Source organism: Homo sapiens, chromosome 18 (genome assembly GCF_000001405.40).
Source record: "Homo sapiens chromosome 18, GRCh38.p14 Primary Assembly".
Taxonomy (NCBI): domain Eukaryota; kingdom Metazoa; phylum Chordata; class Mammalia; order Primates; family Hominidae; genus Homo; species Homo sapiens.
In genome coordinates this window covers 11,639,797-11,659,792 of record NC_000018.10, presented here as the reverse complement: position 1 = coordinate 11,659,792, position 19,996 = coordinate 11,639,797, and the positions used below count along the sequence as shown (strand labels likewise).

The window sequence follows — 19,996 nt, the reverse complement described above, 5'->3', positions numbered from 1 at the left end:
ATTGAACCAAAATGTATCTTCTCGTGTTCCTGCTCTCCTACTCTTCAGTTCTAATTCTTTCCTTTAGGGCCACATGGAAGTAAATCCTCATTTTAATCTGGGTTCTCCAGAAATCAAAGCCTGATGCAGAAGGAAGGAGGGGTGGGGATAAAGAAGAGAGATAGGGAGAGAGCTCATATCAGGGAGCTTGGGACTGTGGCTCTGAGAAGCCACACCAACCTCGTTCCGGGGATGCCTCCTCTGCCATGGAAAAAGGGGGATTCCTGGACTGGCTCTCCTCTCCAGTTGGGATGCTAACTCCCCTACCCTTGGACTCATGCACCCCAGGGGTGAGATCACCTGTGGTGTCAACCAGTGACCTCTCCAGCATTGGGGGCAAGAGGCATGTGGCCTCTTTCACACTGTGCCTGCATCAGGCCCATCAGAGCATGCGTTGAGCCTATTTTTTATAGTTCAAACCAGGGCACTTTGAGAGTGAACCGGGGTGGGGGGGCGTCGCAATAATTATGCCAGGGCAACAAGGGTGACTGGGAGTGCTTCCTGGGCAGACTGGGACTTGCAACCATCCTCCTGAGCCCATGAAGAGCTGGACTAAGGATTCATGAGGCCTTGAGGCTCTGAAGAGGTGCATGAGAAGGTGTGATGCAACTCTTGCTCACACAATAGCTGGAGCTGAGGGTTCATTAACTCATTCGGCAAATATTTACTGGCTTGAGAGTGTTAGGACCTGCTCTAGGGTGGAGGGAAGCAATGGTGAGCCCAGCCATGTACAGGCCCAGCCATGTACAAATCACGGAGCTGGTCATTTAGAAAGGCAGATGTCACTTTAAACAAGTAATTACTTAATTACAATTGGGTAGTTGCAATCACACAGTTGGAGAAATGTTATGAATACATAAGAGGATACAAACTTTTCTAAAGATGTTGGCCATCAGAAAAATGTCCCTAAGAGAGAAACATTCAAGTTAAGACTCTAAGGTACGAAAAGAATTGGTCTGGTTGGATTGGATAGAGGAGGAGGGAAGGAGAGATGGAGAAGGGAATTAGGAGGGCAGGAAAGAAGAGGGTTAGAGATACAGCAAACCCATGAAAGAAACCTCCCAGGTCAAAGAAAGCTTGGCACCCAAGAATAAAAAATACAGCCCTGTGTCTGGGGCATGTGTCCCAGAGGAGGACTGGCTGGAGGTGAGACTGCATGGGGCCTGACACCACGCTGAAGATCACGGTTTCAGTGACTTAAAAGTTTGTGGAAGTAATGTTCTCCCAACTAGCTGCTGTTTGGAGCACGGATGGGGGAAAGAAAGCCTGTAGGATGCTCTTGGGAGTGTCAGGCCATGGAAATGATAGTTGCTTTGGTTAGGTTACAGGGAGTAGAGACGGAGAAAAGTGGATGAGGTTGAAATATATTTAGGACACAGAATGGGTAGGACTCAATGCCATGTTGGATGCAAGTGCGGAGGGACAAAGGGATCAAGGATGAGTTTGTCCTCAGCACAAATGACTTTCCCATGGAAGAACCATTTTGTGAAGTGGGATGAGCTTGTGTTGGGGGGAGGCTGACTCTGCACTGGTTTTGGGACCTTCTGAGGTTGAGGCAATGTGAGACCTTCACACGGGGATGTGCAGTTGGGAGTTGATCTGGAGGGCTGGAATTCAGAGCAGAGATTGGGTCGAGAGACGGAAATTTGGCATTGTGAACATGTTTGAAGCCATGGGAGTGGGTGAGACCTTTGAAGAGAGATCACAGAGTGAGAACTGAAGTGAGTTGAAAGCAGGATTTTGATAAATTCCAATGTTCAAACTAGGCTTGGAGAAGGAGCAGGAGCTCTGAAAGGAAACTCAGAAAATGTGGCCAGAGGGTCAGAGGGTAAACAGAGAGTGGTTCCTCAGGAAGCCGGGGAGTGGGTGTTTCAAGAAGCTTAGCGGTGTGCAAGGCTTCCAAGAGCCATGAAGAAACTGAGCAAGATGGCAGGCTTATCATCACGCAAGCCTCTGCTGGCCTAAAGGAGAGTGTTTTAGTGGCTGGATGTCCGACTGGGGGGTGCTGAGGAGTGGGGCTGAGGAAGAGTGGACGGACGGATGGCCAGATGAATCAAAACAAAGCTCCGGTGGGAAGAGAGAGCAAGGAGCTGGAGGGGACCAAATCCTGGGGGGGGGGCTCCCAGGGGCAAAGGAGAGCAGGCACGGATGCCAATGGAGAGGCATTTTGTGAGAAAAGGCTGAGGTTTTATGAGAAAGAGGGAAAAAGGGAGTGGAGTGCCTGAGGAGGCTGGGTGGGCCAGGGCTACTCGGAAGCATCTAGAGAAGTGCTGCCTTTTGATAGGAAGAAAGGGCTCTCGTTTTAGTTTTAAAAAAAAAAAGATGCAGTGAGTGGCATTGCTGCGCACAGGCTCTGGTGAAATGGCGTCAGGATGCGTCAGAATTCCTCACCGGCGTCTTCAGATTTTCTCTGAAGTATTTGAGATAAGATCATCTTCCATAGGGTGGCAGCAACAGTGGGAGGTTTGAGGGAAATGGAAACTGCAAGAAATTGTTACTGTGTGGAGGTGCTGGGGAAGCAGGCATTCGGAGACCTTTATTAGGTTTCATGATATGAAGATGACACAGGAGAGCTCATCAGCTCCAAAGTATTTACAATCGAATTTCCTAAAGAAGTGGACTGGCTGCACAGATTGTGGTCGCTGTCCTTCATGCTTGTGCTGGTATTTAGAGCACAGTGTCTCTGTCTTACCCCCCAAAGCAGCTCTGGACTCAATGTCTAATGAGCATCTGAGATGGCACCCCACCTTTTTAGTTTTGCTGTTTAAAAATAGTTTCACAAATGACTTTCCTCTGCTAGGGAGCAAATGTCAAAACACTTTCTGAGAACTCCCATGACCTGACTGTTGAAGTGACAAAGCCTATATCCCTTAGAACAAAGTAAATTCTGGTGCTTCTTTTTTGGTGTCTGTTTTGTATTGTATCTATTTTTTAGAGATGGGGTCTTTCCATGTTGCCCAGGCTAGAGTGCAGGGGGGGCATGATCATAGCTCATTTTAGCCTCCAACTCCTGCACTCAAGTGATCCTCGCACCTCAGCCTCCCGAGTAGTTGGGCCTACAGGTGGTGCCACCACACCAAGCTCTGTCTGTTGATTGGGATGCAGCTAGGGTGGGGTGAGTGGTAGAGGTAGATTCATTGGCACAGGAAGGCCCCCACACACATGAGACCAGAGGAACTGGCTCCATCCCTGTGTCTGACTTGCCTTTGTTGTAGAAGCAATGGTCCAGCTCCCAGGTCTAGAGGCTTGAGTTTGTTAAAATGTGCTGGACATCCAGACAAATCAGACACTTTTTATGGAAAGCTATATAAAGGACACCATCCTTCCTAACAATACCACAGAGATTCAAGGGATTCAAAAATCGAGAATGAAATCCGTTCCAAAGCACGATACTGATGGCCTAATTTTGGCTTATGTCCTGCTGAGTTACCCCCAGTAGTGGGCCTGAGCCCCTTGGGGGAGGGACAAAGTAAAAGGTGGGTTGGTTGGGGAGAAGTGTTGACCTGGAAGTTGTAGCTGAACTTCAGTAAACTCTTTTATGAGGGGTATAAGCTTTGCACCCTGATTACGTACTAGAAAGATAATTGCTATTCAAACTTAAAAATGGCTACATGTACTATCTTGGTTTCCAGTGCTCCACAATCTGGTTGGAGTCCCATCTATTCTTTCATGCTTAGTTGGAATCTTCTTCCCTAGCTATATTGATTAAATAGGGATGAATCACGCCCTTAACCACGCTCAGAGCACTCCTGAGATAGTATCTTCTTTCCCCTTTGTTATCAGTTCCTCAAAGACAGGAGGATGTCTCTTATGTGTTTATATTCCCAGGGTTTCATACTTAGTACTTTTTTGATGTGCTTACCTCTTTGAAGTTTTAGGGAACTTGCTCAATAATAAAGACTAGACATTGAATTTGCTGTCGAGATGTTCAAAGCTGAGGCTTTTTTTTTTCTTTTGCTGTGATTCCAGAAAATCCTGTCTTCCATCTGTGTTTGGGAGGCAACTGAGCGGTCTCGCCTGGCAGTTTCCTGTTGGGCTTGTTTCTTCAGCGGACCCAGGTCTGGTGTTCCTTCTCTGTCCCTCACCACGACCTCTCTACTATTGAACTTATAAAAGGGGAGATAAGGAGTGTAAACCATTTAGAAAACATATGTTTGATATTTATAGCTACAGAAGATATTTAAGGTGTGATTGATCACACGTGAATTTCCTTCCAAACAACAAACCGAGCTGGGAAAACACTCAGTGGTGTAGACCGCCCCCTGCTGGCCTCGTTCCGAACCCCAGAGCGCGCCGGTGCCATCCCGTCGCGTTGCCGCAGGGAGGGGAGGAGTACCGTGCCCACACCTAGGAATGTATCTTCGTGGAAACCCCATGGCACAGGGTGTTGTGTCCTTTGGAGCCCCTCCTCGCAGCTGTGAGCTATTTACTAATAGCTATCACGTGGGGAGGTTGTGTTGCTTTAAAAATGGAATGATATTTCTGCTTTACAGTTTTCCTAAATCTGGGCATCTAGTGAAGCTGTCCTTCGGGAATTCACGCTCCAGCTGGAAGCCAAAGGGGGAGGGCTGTGTTCTCTGAGGGAGTTGGAGGTCACCCCGTGCTGGCGAAAGGTCTGGGAGTGGAGCTCAGGAGGTCTGCCTTTGACTCCGGCCTCCTTCTCCAAACTGGGGGTTTCCTTGTCAATGGAGTGGTTTGACTAGGTGATTTCTAAGGACCCTTCAGCTGTGTCATGGTGGGCAGCACCGTCCTGCCTTCCTGGAGCTTACATTCCAGCTAGCGTGTTTACTCGAGCTCCTGTGCTCGGTGTGGTGAGAACTGACAAATGTGGTAGGTGGTCGAAGTCATCCACACCATGGACGGTTTACCACTTCTGTGACCGGACCCTGAAGTCGGGATTTGCTGGGAAGCACACAGGTGCACCCATCTCCTTCCAGGTCACTGCCCCAGTCAATTCGTGCTGGCTGAGGCCGTCTGCGCATCCAGCACTCCTTGGTAATTCTTGTATGTCTTCATTCCGCTTTTCCTGCATTAAGCATGGAAGCTCTTTCCAAACTTCTTGGTACCCGGGTCCTTTGATCCTCCTGCCCCTGCTGCTTACTCTCTTAGCAGAAAACCCTACCTCCCTCCTGCAGAAAAGACGCTGTCTGAATTGCTAGCCTTCCCCTCACTACTGGCTGGCTCTCATCAGTGTTGAATTTACCTTTGCCCCAACCAAAAAGCCAAAATACTGGATGCTGCATTTGCCACCTGCATTCCATATCTCATATCTTTCCTTCCCTTCACAGTCAAATTTCTTGAAAGCAGTGTCTACATCCACTGTCTTCCTTTCTTGCCTCGACTTGTTCCCGAAGCCACTGCAGGCTGGCTGACTTCCTCATCTCCACTCCACCGAAACGGCATCATTTCAAGGTCCCCCAGTACCTGCATGTTGCTGAAGCCAGTGGGCACCTAACACTTTTTGTTTGGGGCACTAGACCATTCCCCATGCTCTCGATCAATGCTCCTGGTTTCCCCCTTCATTTCAGCTGCTTATTTCCTGTGGTAAGGGTCCTGCTTGCTTTTTGTCTTCCTTTGCGTTCTTTCCCAGATGTTTTTCGGTTTTGCTCCCCATCCTGCCACCACGGGAGCAGAAGAGGCAGGTGCAGGGATGCAGAAGCACAGCAGGGAGGTGCTTTAGACGGGTTGGCTAGAAGGCCTGTGGAAGAGGGCATTTGGCCTTGCTCATTTCAGAATTCCTGCGAAGAGAGCACAGGGGCAAGGGCCTTCCCTAGATTACAAATGGAAATGAAGCACAAGCTTGAGTGCCAGAGCAGCATCAGCTGCTGTGTGGCGTGGGAAGGGACCCCGACGTCCTAGGGATGCAGGGTAGATCTGAGCTACTTGCTGGGGAGCTTGCCCTAGAAGTCTGCCAAGGTGGGGTTGGAGGGGCCCTGCAGATGAGAGCGGCCAGGTGAGCTGCCTGGACTGGGGGCAGGTGGGATTGCAATGTAACAAGTGGACGCCAAGAGGCCCCACCGCACAGCAGGAGCTGAGGTGGGGTTCGCCAGCAGTGGGAGACAGCCAGGCTCTTTGGGAGGGATGCCCGTACTAAAGGGAAAGTCACATTTCTCAGCTGGATTCCATTTCACTCTCACTTAAGTGGAACCAGCCAATGTGCACCCAGGACAGGATCCAAGGTGGGGACCCATGGAAGGAGCACAGGCCTCCAGCGCTGCGAAGGCATGGGCACCACTCCAGGCCCACATCCTCTTGGAGAAGAGCAAGAGAGTGGAAGAAGCAGGAAACGTTATTTACCCGCCTCAGAAGTCACCCAAGAGCTCGTGAAATTGGGCAGGGACTGTGGTAACATAAAGTTTCAAGTTCAAAGTTTATGTGTCCTTCCTTACTCCCGGTGGAGTGGGCTCATGAGAATATCCAAGTGTTTATAAAGGATAAAGAACCCACATTTTCTTTGCACATCTGGCTGGAAAGTGAGAAATGTATAAATTTTTGAAGAAACTGAAGGGACTGTCATACATCTGTAATAATGATACACGTAAAGTCTGTGGAATAACATGAAAAATCTGTAAGATGTACCATTAAGCGAGCAAAGAATAAAACTTGTGTGTTTGATTTTAACCGTGTAAAATCAAATACTTTTGAGTAAAACCTGGAAAAAACGTGAGGAAAATAAAACCAACTATCACTGTGGTAGGAGTGTAGGTGGATTTTTAAAAAATCCTCTCGTCTTATTTATTAAGAATAAAATAAGGTTGTTAATTCATTTTTTTGATTGTGGTATACTTTAAATTTCTTTCCTGGTGGTGCAGTGTACCCCACTTTTTTTTTCTTTCACTGGAACTAATGTTTCTGTTTGGAAAAGCACACATAGGCCAGGTGCACTTTGGGAGGCTGAGGCGGGTGGATCAGCTGAGGTCAGGAGTTCAAGGGGCCCTCCAGCCTGGCCAACATGTTGAAACCCCAACTGTAGTAAAAATACAAAAAGTTAGCTGGACGTGGTGGTGTGCACCTGTAATTCCAGCTACTTGGGAGACTGAGGCAGGAGAATCACTCGAACCTGGGGGGCGGTGGTTGCAGTGAGCCGACATTGCGTCACTGCATACCAGCCTGGGTGACAGAGCAAGACTCTGTCAAAAAAAAAAAAAAAAAAAAAAAAAGAAAAAAAAGGAAAACCACACACAATAAAATTTTAATAACTATTCCTTTCTTAAAAATCATGAAAATGCCATGTCATTTCCTTTTACTGAAAAAAATTACATAAAATTTAAGTATAAAATATGTCATAGAATAGTAAATAAAATATGATCCCATTTATGTAAAACAATGGGTTGTTTTAAATCCCATGTGCTACCTCTGCTTTCATTCCTCAATATTCTCCAATTTCCCTTTGCTTCCCTATACTTTTGTATTGGGAAACATTATCTATTCCTGCATAAAAAAATTACCTAACACTCAGTGGTCTTAAGCAGCAATATCTATTACCTTGCACTGATTCAGTGGACCAGGAATTTGGGAGTGGCTTAACTAGAAACTTCTTATGAAGCTGTAGCCAGGACCCCACCAGCACCACAGTGGCTGAGAGCTTTGTACAGGGGGTGGACACTCCAGCTTTTGCATACCACCAAATCCACAGCTTCTCCCAAATGTTAAGTTTTTGTTACTGAGGTACCTTTCTTCTGCATTCCAAAATCTACTAGTTGTCTATCACTGCATTAACAAATCACCCCACGAGTTGGATGCTTAAAGCAATGATTTCAGGATGTCCCACTCACATGACTGGCAGGCTGGAATGGGGCTGGCGTCGGCAGGTGCCCTTAGCTCCTTGCTGCATGGGCCTCTCCACAGGGCTGCTGACGTGTCCTCATGGCATGGTCATTGGTTACCCCACTAATGAGTGATCCCAGAGAACTTAAGGGTAGGCCAAAATATCTTTTGTTACCTAGCCTGCGAAGTCATACTCCATGATTTCTGCAATATCCTATTGGTTACACCCTTAAGCCATGCTCATTTTGGAAGAGAATACATGAGGGTATGAATACCAGGAGGTCGGGGGCATTGGGTTTCTCTTGGAAACTGGCTACCATAGTCTGCCCTCTCACCCCCAGTGACTCATGTCCTTCCTGCATGCAAACTACAGTCATCTCAATGCCCCCCAAAGTCTCATCCTGTAAAAGCATCACCTTGAAAAATCCAGGATCTCAAGATCTGAATCAGGCCCAAGTGTGGTTGAGGCTACTCCGATCCAGTTTCTCTTGATCTGAGGATCTATGAATGAAAGAGACAAATTATTTGCCTGTCACACATCCAACATATGATGATGTGACAGGCACAAGATAGCTGCTAAGACGTTCCTGTCTAAAAAGAGGGGAAATGGGAGCCGTACAGGAATCACTGGTCCATACCAATTCTGAAATCCATCTGGGCACAGTTTGAAAGTTACGTGAATAGGACTCAGTCCTACTCCTGTCTGGGAATGAGTCTCCCTGCTTCTTGGCTCTGCCCTGCCGGCCTTATTTCCATGTTTCCGTCATTCCTCCTTTGTAGACTACGTTTGAAACTGAGTAGTCTTTCAGTCTTCCTGCCTGCAAATGTTTGAGGGTTCAAAGCCACTTTTCATTTGTACCTCTGTCCCTTTCAGTCCAAGCTGGTGTTTCTGCCAAAGCAATTCTTTTCCAGTAGCTGGGAGCCTCCTTGATGGGCTCATTCCATTTGACAGAAGTCACGCCCGTAAATCTCTTTAAAATAAATCTTTCTCTTTACCTTTAGGCTGCTACTGAGACTGCTAAATGGCAACACCTTTAACATATGCAGAAGTCCTGCTGTTTGACTGAACAGTTCTTTGGGATTTTGCAGTCACACACTGGATGTCATCTTTCGATCTTCTTTTCTTGAGAGGGCCCTGGATATGTATGATCTTTGATAAGAAGCCAGTTCTTACCTTTAGCATCTTTGCCATCTGAAGATGGAGAGGCTGGGAATGTCCAACAGTTCCTGCTAGTATAAATAGCAGGAAAAAAAATCAGGGGCACCTTTAAAACTCAGTTCACAGGATACATTTTCTATTTTCCACATTCTGTAGACGACAGCGTTGCTATACGTTTTGCCACTGCATAACCACCTGTTTCCAATGAGTCGCCTCAGTTTCCTTTAAGCCCTCACAGACAACCTTCTCAAATGTCACCATGCTTTTGCTAACAGTCCCTTGAAAGTCCTTTAGGCTTTCATTAACATTCCTTAAAGTCCTGCCAGCTTCCTCCCACTGCCAAATCCACAGCATCTCCCACATTTTAGGTTTTTGTTACAGTAACATCCCGCCTCCACCTTCCAAAATATATTAGTTATTTACTGCTGCATAACAAGTTACCCTAAAACCTAGATGCTTAAAACACTAAAAAACATTTATTATGTCACCCATGTTCTGTGGGTCAGGAATTAAGGCATGACTATTTAGTTGGGTGGTCCTGCCTTAGGGTCTCTTATTAAATGGCAGTTAAAATGTCAGCTGGAATACAGTCATTTGAAGACTTATCTGGAATCAGCAAACCCAATTTCAGGATGCCTCACTCGCATGGCTGGCTGTTGTTGCTGGCTGCTGGAAGCAAGCCTTGTTTCCTTGACACACGGATCTCTCCACAGGGCTGCTTGAGTTTCCTCACAGCATGGCAGCTGGTTTCTTCCAGAATGAGTGAGAACTTGCTTTTTATGCCCTTGATGTGGACATCACACACTCATTTATTTCTGCAGTGACAGCCTATCCCACTTACTGTCGGGGGAGGAGAGTACACAGGATATGAATGTCAGAAAACAAGACCACTGAAGTGATCTTGGAGCCTGGTTGCCACATGAAATATATAAACAAGCGAATTTATGGTCATACATAAATGGTTTCACACAAAACAAAAGCAAAAGACCCCTAAAAACCAGAAGAGCACACACAGATATACACATGCCATGCACATGTGAGCACATAGAGTAAAAGAATAATAAAATAAAAAATACCAAGTATGAGAAATAGAAGATAACCAACAGCTTTAATTTTTAAGTCTTTGTTTCCTACATCTCATTACTTTCCTGATATGGGAAGAAATGGAATTTTGTGGTCCTATTTTCTCAGCCTTCTTTATAGTTTTTTTTTGAGGGACAATATTCAAAATATTTAACAACCAGTATGCCACGGGCACTGGACAATCAGATGGAATGAGGCCATAAACAACCAGCACAGCTACTCTGTGTGCGTTGGTGACCATCATGCTTGGTTTTACCACCTGTGTTTGTATCTCTAAATGATATACTCAGTTTGGAGTGTTTTTACATTTTTCTTTTTTCATTTAATATTATAGTTTTGAGACTTATTTATGCTGAGGGATGTAGCTACAGTTCATTTTCACTGCTGTATAGTATTCCACCATGGGACCACAACTTATTTTCTTTATACTTTCTCCTATGGCCATTTCATAGCCAAAAAAAACAAAAAACAAAACAAAACAAAAACCCCACAAAAAACAAAAACACCCCAAACTGGAAAGCCTTTTTTCCTGGAACTGTTAAAATAATGTTGCTGAGAAATCATCTGTGCATTTATTCTGGTATACTTGTATCAGAATTGCTCTAGATACATACCTAGTGAAGATATTCCTATCTTACATAGAAGCGATCCTTCAGGACTGTGTGTAGGATGTTCTTTCTCTTTGGTTTTTGTCACCTCTGAAGATGGATGGAAAATGTGTAGGCATTGGAACAGGGACCCCATTTTTTTCTGAAGGAAAAAACATGTTGTTTGAATGTGATCTCACGTGATTGAGAAAATAATTTATGATGTCCACACACCTAGTTACAATGACTTGTACCAGGAGGGGAGCCCAAATATTTTTTTTTTTTGCTCATTTTCTCCAGTTTGAATGGGGAGTAATTATGAAAAATAAACAGTACCTGCTTAAAGTATATAATTTGATGAGTTTTAATGTTTATTGTATACCCATGATACCATCACCACAATCGAAATGATGAACATTATCACCACCGAAGATTCTCCATGTGTCTGCAATCCATCTCAGGCAACGGCAAACCTGTTTTCTTTCACAATAGATTACTTTGTATCATCCAGAACCTTATATAAATGGAATCATGGAGCAGGACTCTATTTTTGTCTGGCCTCTTCCGTTCAGCATCATTTCGAGATTCATCATTATTGCACGAATCAATAGCCCGCTCCCTTTTTTTTTTTTTTTTTTTTGCCTTCAAGCATCTGTTTAACAAAGCACATCTTGCACTGCCCTTAATCCATTTAACCCTGAGTGGACACAGCACATGTTTCAGAGAGCACGGGGTTGGGGGTAAGGTTATAGATCAACAGCATCCCAAGGCAGAAGAATTTTTCTTAGTACAGAACAAAATGGAGTCCCCTATGTCTACTTCTTTCTACACAGACACAGTAACAATCTGTTCTCTCTTTCTTTTCTCCACATTTCCTCCTTTTCTTTTCTACAAAACCGCCATCGTCATCATGGCCCGTTCTTGATGGTCGCTGTCTCTTCAGAGCTGTTGGGTACACCTCCCAGACGGGGTGGCCGGGCAGAGGCGCTCCTCACCTCCCAGACGGGGTGGCCGGGCAGAGGTGCTCCTCACCTCCCAGACGGGGTGGCCGGGCAGAGGTGCTCCTCACCTCCCAGACGGGGCAGCCAGGCCGAGGCGCTCCTCACTTCCCACACGAGGTGGTGGCCGGGCCGAGGCGCTCCTCACATCCCAGATGGGGCGGCCGGGCAGAGGCGCTTCTCATCTCCCAGACGATGGGCGGCCAGGCAGAGGCGCTCCTCACCTCCAAGATGGGGTGGTGGCTGGGCAGAGGCGCTCCTCACCTCCCAGACAGGGTGGCGGCAGGGCAGAGGCGCGCCTCACCTCCCAGACGGGGTGGTGGCTGGGCAGAGGCGCTCCTCACCTCCCAGACAGGGTGGCGGCAGGGCAGAGGCGCTCCTCACCTCCCAGACGGGGTGGCGGCCGGGCAGAGGCGCTCCTCACCTACCAGATGATGGGCGGCTGGGCAGAGGCACTCCTCACCTCCCAGACGGGGTGGCGGCCGGGCAGAGGCGCTCCTCACCTCCCAGACGGGGTGGCGGCCGGGCAGAGGCGCTCCTCACCTACCAGATGATGGGCGGCCGGGCAGAGGCACTCCTCACCTCCCAGAGGGGGTGGCGGCCGGGCAGAGGCACTCCTCACCTCCCAGACGGGGTGGGCGGCTGGGCAGAGGCGCTCCTCACCTCCCAGACAATGGGCGGCCGGGCAGAGGCGCTCTTCACATCCCAGACGGGGTGGCCAGGCAGAGGCACTCCTCACCTCCCAGATGATGGGCGGCCGGGCAGAGGCGCTCCTCACCTCCCAGATGGGGTGGCCGGGCAGAGGCATTGGCTGGTCTTTTCATTTTCTTTCTTTTTTTTTTTTTAAAGCCAGCTTCCACTTTTTGCTTTAATCTTTTCAAAGCAATAGCTATTACATAAATCAGTGAATACAATATTTCAGCAATATTTGAAATGGTGTTCACACCCAGCAATTCCACTTCTAGACATAAATCCAAGAGAATTGAAAACATAGGTGCACACAGGCACTTGTACATGAATATTCATGGAAGCATTATCCACAACAGCCAAAAAGTGGAAACAGTCTAAATGTCTATCAAGATGAATGAATAAATAAAATGTAGTGTATGCATGCAGTGGAATATTATTTGGCCATGAAAAGAAATGAAGCACTGATGCAGGCTGCAACATGGATGAACTTGAAAACTTTATGTTACATGAAAGAAGCCAGTCATAAAAGGTCACATGCTGTTATTCCTATTATAGGAAATATCCAGATAGGCATGTCCATAGAGACAGAGAGGAGAGACAATGTATTTTGCAGATGAAAAGATCTTAACTGTAATGAAGTCTATAATTCTGTTTCTGTAGTAGTTCCAACTTTTGATACTCTGTTTAGGAAACCCATGCTATTTACAGGTTACTAAGAATTTATTTTCTTCCAGAAGTTCTACAGTTTTTAGTTTTACCTTTAGATCCTTTATCCATTCTAAGTTAATTTTTGTGTATGGTGTGAAGTGTAAGGGTTGAGAATTATTCATTTATTTATTTTTGCATACGGCTTTTCTATCAATCCAGCATTGGTTGGAAAGATTATTCTTTTCCACATTACTTTGCCTCCAATTTTCTATTTCCAGAGTCTTTTTTACATTTCATTGATCTATAGATTTACCTTCATGCCAATATGGCATTGTGTTTTCATTGAAAAGATCTATAGGGGTGTGAGGCATCATTGAGCTTCTTAGATCTCTGGGTTAATAGTTTTCATGAAATTTAGAAAATTTTTGGCCATTACTTGCTAACGTATTTTTTACGTCCCGTCAGAGAGCTCCACTTTTTTTTTGTGAATTAAATGGTATGTTTACTAGATGGCTTGATGTAGACCTACAGTTAACTGGTACTTTGTTCTTTTTTTTTTTTTTTTTTAAGACACGGTCTCACTCTGGCGCCCAGGCTGGAGTGCAGTGGCGCAATCTCTGCTCACTGCAAGCTCCGCCTCCCGGGTTCACACCATTCTCCTGCCTCAGCCTCCAGAGTAGCTGGGACTACAGGCGCCCACCACCACACCCGGCTAATTTTTTGTATTTTTAGTAGAGACAGGGTTTCACCATGTCAGCAAGGATGGGGGTCTCAATCTCCTGATCTCATGATCTGCCCGCCTCGGCCTCCCAAAGTGCTGGGATTACAGGTGTGAGCCACCACGCCCGGCCCTAGATTCATATGTTATTGTTAGAGATAATACAGATCATTTGTATGCTTTGCCCAGTTTTCATCAATGGTAACATTTTGCTAAGTTGTACTATAGGGACATCCCTCAGTATCCAAGCAGGATTAGTTCCAGGACCCTCGCAGATACCAAAATCCATGGATGCTCAAGTCCCTGATATAAAATGGCATAGTATTTGCATATAACCTACCCACATCCTCCTGTATACTTTAAATCATCTCTAGATTACTTTTAATACCTAATGTAATGTCAAGGCTATGTATGGCAGCTGTTATGCTGTATTGGTTTTTGATTATATTATTTTTTATTGCTTTATTCTTCACATATTTTCCATCTGTAGTTGTTTGAATCAGTAGATGCAGAACCTCAGGCTACAGGGGGTTGACTGTAATATCACAACCAGGATACTGACATTGATACAATGTACCAATGTTATCCAGAGATTCCTGGTGTTACTTGTACTCTTTGTATAGGTGTCTCTATCTGTGTCTATTACGTTGCATACAATTTGATCACCTGTGCATGTTCATGTATTCACCACCATAGTTGTAATACTGAACAGTTCTAACACTACAAGTCCCCTTTGTACTGTCCTCTTATAATTGCAGCCACCTCTCTCTTGCCCCTCTACCACCTCTTTCATCTCTAAGTCCTGACAACCACTGATCTGTTCTCCATTCCTGAAATTTTGCCATTTCAAAATGTTTTGTCAATAGAATTATACCGTAAAGTTTTGGGACTGTTTCTCCCCGCAAGCATAATTCCCTGGAGATTCATCCAAGTTGTTATTTGCTATCCAGTGTATTTTAATCTTAGACATTGTCTTTTTCATCTCTAGAAATTTGAGTTGAGTCATTTTTATATCTCTTATATTTCTAATTTTGTGGATGCTTTACTATTTTGAACATGTGGTGCATATTTATACTAACTGTTTTAATCTCCTTTTCTAGTCACTAATACATCATTTCTATGTCTGCTTCTGTTGATTGATTTTTATTTTCATGACAGGTCATTTTTTTCCTCTGAATGGTTAGGTCCTTAATTTTTTTTTTTTTTTTTTTTTGTCTTCAGTCTTTGCCTTTATTTATCCCTGTCCCTCCCAACCCCCAGGCTCCCAAGTTCTATCTCACTCCTCCACCTTCCCTGTCCTCTCACAGATGAGGTTCCGGGCTGTAATGATGGCAATGCTGCCCAGCACAACCCCTGCCCCCATGATGTCAGAAGGTGCCACAGTCTCATGGAGCATATAATACTGCAGTATAAGGGCCATCACCACCTCGGAATGCAGGACAGCACACACCAGGGCAGGGTGGGCCTTGGTGACCGCATAGCCCACACATGTGAAGGAGACCAAGGTGAGGATCCCCACTGCCCCCACACAACTCCAACTCAGGAGGTCACTGGGCAACACGGGGGTCTGCAGCACAAAGAGGCCTGGCACAGAGCCCAGCAGCCCCACCAAGCCAGATAGGAAGGCCACTGTTGGGAGGCAGGAGGGAAAGTGCAGAGAACGATAGACCAGAAGCCCCAGGGACAGCGCCAGTCCTCCCAGGAAAGCCTGCACATAGCCCAGGGCGGTGTAGACACCCGTGGTCCCCTCCTGTAGTGTCCAGAGTCCTTGCAAGCCCGGGGAGCCTGCCATAGCACAGCACCTTCCCTCGCCAGCCCCTCCCTCCCTGCCCACAGGGTCTTTCCTCGTGCGTGGCCACATGGCCCCTCAGGTGTGATGGTGCTGTCTGAGGGTGCTATGTGTGGAATGAGGTCATTGTGCCCGCAGGTTGTTTGTGATTAGCTGTCTGCTACTTCCATGACACGTGGGCTGTCAGTGACTCTGTTTTCAAATCGCAGCAAGAGCTCGTAGTCTTTTCCCTCTAGGTCTTCCTGCAGTGTGGACTGTTGGGCAGCATCCTAGGACTAATAATCATTGTGGGACCTGGACTCTGTTAGCTGTCTCTAACAATTGTTCATACAACAATTGTTCATTATTGTTCTCAAGTTGGGGCTCTCCCCAACCTCAGTCACATTTGGTTAGCAGACTCTGGCTTAAAAGTTTTGGTGACTTTGACTTTGACTTTGACTTTTGGGAGGCCGAGGTGGGTGGTGCCCAGGCTGGTCTCAGACTCCTTGCCTTAAGCAGTCCTCCCACCTCAGCCTCCTAAAGTGCTGGGAAGCATTACAAGCGTGAAGCATTACATCCAAGTGAAACTTCTTGAGATAGTTACATAATGTCTAAATCTGCTGGTGTAGAAGTTAATAAAGTGTAGAACTGAATAAATATTAAATATTAGATCAAGTTTCTCATGTTTACCTTAACGCATAAAGATTTATCTTAAAGCACTGATTTTCACAAAATAACATCAGTGTGAAATTGGAAAAGAAGCCAAATATTTTATTTCATGTATCTGGGAAATGAGGTGCTTTAGTCAACTGAATCTGCCCAAAACTAAAAAGCATTAATTAAAAAGTACTTAACTCAGAAATTATAAAAATAGGAGACATCAATAAAATACATTCTACACAGAATACGCCAACCATACACTACTCTTTTTTGATAATAAAAAATGTATTTACTGAGCCAGTTGTGGTGGCTCACGCCTATAATCCCAGCACCTTGGAAGGCCAATGAGAGTGGATCAGTTGAGGCCAGGAGTTTGAGACCAGCCTGGTCAACATGGCGAAATGCCGTCTCTACTAAGAATACAAAAATGAGCCGGGCACGGTGGCACGCACCTGTAATCCCAGGTACTCCGAAGGATGAGGCAGGATAATTGTTTGAACTCAGGAGGTGGAGGTTGCAGTGAGCCGAAATCATGCCACTGGACTCCAGCCTGGGTGACAGAGTGAGTCTCTGTCTCAGAAAAAAAAAAAAAAAAAAAAAAAAAAGGAAAAGAAAAAAAGTCAGTTGCAGTGGCTCACGCTTGTAATCCCAGCACTTTGGGAGGCCGAGGCAGGCGGATTACAAGGTCAGGAGATCGAGACCATCCTGGCCAACATGGTGAAACCTCCTCTCTACTAAAAATGCAAAAATTAGGCTGGGCACAGTGGCTCACACCTGTAATCCCAGCACTTTGGGAGGCCGAGGCGCGGAGATCACGAGATCAGGAGATTGAGACCATCCTGGCTAACACAGTGAAACCCTGTCTCTACTAAAAATACAAAAAATTAGCTGGACGTGGTGGCAGGCACCTGTAGTCCCAGCTACTTGGGAGGCTGAGGCAGGAGAATGGCGTGAACCCGGGAGGTGGAGTTTGCAGTGAGCCGAGATCCCACCACTGCACTCCAGCTTAGGCGACAGAGCCAGACTGTGTCTCAAAAATAGGAAAGAAAACAAAAGAAAATTTGGACTATTGCCAATTACAAATATTTTTAGAGAAGAATTCAAAACAGTAACTGTGGATGATGGAAACAATAGTTATGATAAAAGTCTGATGAAACTTCCCAGTTCACAAGGAAATTTAATTACTTATGTGCAGCATTTTAAGACAGTAATCAGAATCATGACTGACAGCATCATATCAGGGCCACCAGACTTTTATAAATTTCATACAATCTTCAGAAATAATTAATAACTTTTTTTTTTTTTAGATAGATTCTACCTCTGTCACGCAGGTGGGAGTGCAGTGGCATGATCTCGGCTCACTGCAACCTCCGCCTCCTGGGTTCAAGCAATTCTCCTGTCTCAGCCTCCCGAGTAGCTGAGACTACAGGCATGTGCCACCAGGCATGGCTAATTTTTGTATTTTTAGTGGAGACAGGGTTTCACTCTATTAGGCTGGTCTGGAACTCCCGACCTCAGGTGATCCACCTGCCTTTGTCTCCCAAAGTGCTGGGATTACAGGCATGAGTGACGGTGCCCAGCCATTCATGACATGTTTATACAAATATAACTTTAGCAAATATTTAGCATAACTATCAAAATTACAAATCATATTAAATTTGTATAAATCTATGCAATTTTTGGAACACGTGTATCAACAACATACCCATAAATATAACTGAGATGAGATCTAATGTCACCTCACTTGACAGTGCCCTCCCATGCAGTATCGCCACATTTGACAACGCCTGCCCATTTAATCTACCAAATAAATCGAATCACTTAATACCTCTGCAAGATGAGAGATACATTCTTTAGACTCCCCAAGGGATGCAGCTGAAAAAATCCCAAAGTTAGTTTTAAGCCAAAAAGACTTGATTTAGGATTTTGACACTGGAGAAACCCATCAAAGACGTCAAGTTTGAAAACACTTGATCAAAACAGAATCACAGGTCCCTATTAAAAGAGTATTAATTTAACCAGAGACTTCCAAAGCAATACAAAAACTTACATGGATATAAAAACCTCAACCCTTTTAAAGGTCACATTTGCTAAGTGATCAAAAGGGGTACTTGAATTGAATCGACACAGGAAGAGTGTGTACAGGGTTATGAGTGTAGACAGATGGTTACTTCGGTCATATCTCCATTTGCCACCTGATTACACAGGAGAATGGCATCTTTACTCACCAGAAAGCCAGTATTATAGGAGGTGTAGGAGGCATTCTTGGACTTGAGACAAGAACATTGTTGTGTAGAAATTTCATTGACTGTGTTAAAATTATTCTCCATGGGCTGGAGAACACATAACATGGCCTTTAGAATGAGACGGGCATTGATTGGATGCAAGGTCTCCACACTTACTAGCTGTGTGACATTGGACAGAGTGCTTCATCATTCCGAGACTCAGTTTTTAAAGGAAAAACAACTAACTACCTTGCAAGCTTGCTAGCAGGTTTAAGTGTAATAATGTGTGGGAATGACTGCACCGTGACTAACACGTAGTGACAGCTTAATTAATGTTAACCCTTATCATTATCATATAAGAATGTGAGTTACATAAGAGAGGAATCCTGTCAGTTCATTCCCTGCTGTGTCCCCAAGACCATGAATCATGGCTGGCATGTAGTAGGCATTTAATAATATATGTTCAACAAGTATTTGGCAGTCTTGGAGGGCAGAAAAGGAGGTAGGGAAGATTTTTAAATAACATTTTTTAAAAAGTCACATTGTCCTACAATACCGATTTTTCTTGCATATTTAGGAAATTGAGGGTTTTTTCCTAAAACATGCGGACATATGAGAAATAGGATGCAACATTTGCACTAATGTTTCAGACACAGTTAGAGGTTTCCAAGAGATTTTGCGCTGGGGAGGCTGCTTGCTACAAGCTCCCAAAGCTCTGGGAGGACATAGTATTCATTCCTCCCTCAGCAGAAGCGGTGAGGCAAGAAGCTCTGGGGAGCACCCAGCCTTGGACTTTTAGCATAGTGTGTCAGGTCTTCATAGTTTGGGCCCAGGGCACAGAGAAGTCACAGCTCTCCGGCATCCTGTGACCTTTACCCTCTTTGCCAAGGGAAAATGTGGCCCACCAAAGCAAGAAACTTGAGGGCATGGGTCACCCCAGCCCTGGCATCTGCCCAGAGCCCGAGAAGGAAGGAACAATGATCCTCCAGCTACCTCACGGGGCTGGCACAGGTGACCACTGCCCTGGCATCACCCAGCTGTGTCCGGCAGCCTGAACCCCATCTGTGGGGATGTGAGGAGGAAAATACAAAAGTCCTTAGGTGAACACTGAGAAGGCAGATGCAGCAGAAACCTCCAGGCCAGAACTACCCAGTCTTGGACCTATGGTGGAGATAGAGCATAGCTGGCGATCATGTATACTTACACTCTAAGGTCACCTGGTTGCACTGTGGCCTCATCTGTGGCTCTGAAAATGAAGATTTGGAAGGAGATCATCACAGCTAATGTTAACAAGCCCCTCCTGAGTGCCAAATCATTCACCCCTCACCACAACCGAATGAGCTAAGGATTCTCATTATATATAGTTTATGGAGAGGGAAGCGCAGACATAAAGAGGTGAATTATCTTACCCAGATCACACAGCTGATAAGTGGTGGAGGCAGAATAGAATCTAAACAGTGTGGCTCCGGAGCCCACATGCATTGATTCGACAAGTGTTTATTGAGCACCTGCCACGGACAAGGCCTTGTGTGATTAAATAGGGTTATAATTAGTAACATAAAAATGAGAAATCACTAATGCTTTTTAGACTTTACATTTTCTTTTTTTGTAGGTTTCAGGCACAGAACTGTATATCCAATAATAGTGAAATGGA

The 19,996-nt window shown here is 45.4% G+C and overlaps 1 non-coding gene across 1 annotated transcript, besides 2 other annotated features; it reads left to right on the top strand.

Moving 5' to 3' along the window:
* Positions 1,873–2,042: an enhancer, noted in NCBI's record as "experimental_47746 CRE fragment used in MPRA reporter constructs". NCBI's record gives its function as "activates a minimal promoter by MPRAs in K562 erythroleukemia cells, with activity observed for the non-introgressed 18:11657835 or rs17514586 variant allele {active_cell/tissue: K562}" and the evidence as "EXISTENCE:reporter gene assay evidence [ECO:0000049][PMID:34662402]".
* Position 1,957: a transcriptional cis regulatory region, noted in NCBI's record as "Neanderthal adaptively introgressed variant 18:11657835 (GRCh37/hg19 assembly coordinates) or rs17514586 in the experimental_47746 CRE". NCBI's record gives its function as "modulates activity of the experimental_47746 enhancer by MPRAs in K562 erythroleukemia cells {active_cell/tissue: K562}" and the evidence as "EXISTENCE:reporter gene assay evidence [ECO:0000049][PMID:34662402]".
* MIR7153 (microRNA 7153) lies at positions 4,852–4,908 on the top strand. Its single transcript, NR_106975.1, has one exon. It is a non-coding gene; the product is annotated as a microRNA 7153 (primary transcript).
* Positions 4,909–19,996: the final 15,088 nt, after the last annotated feature.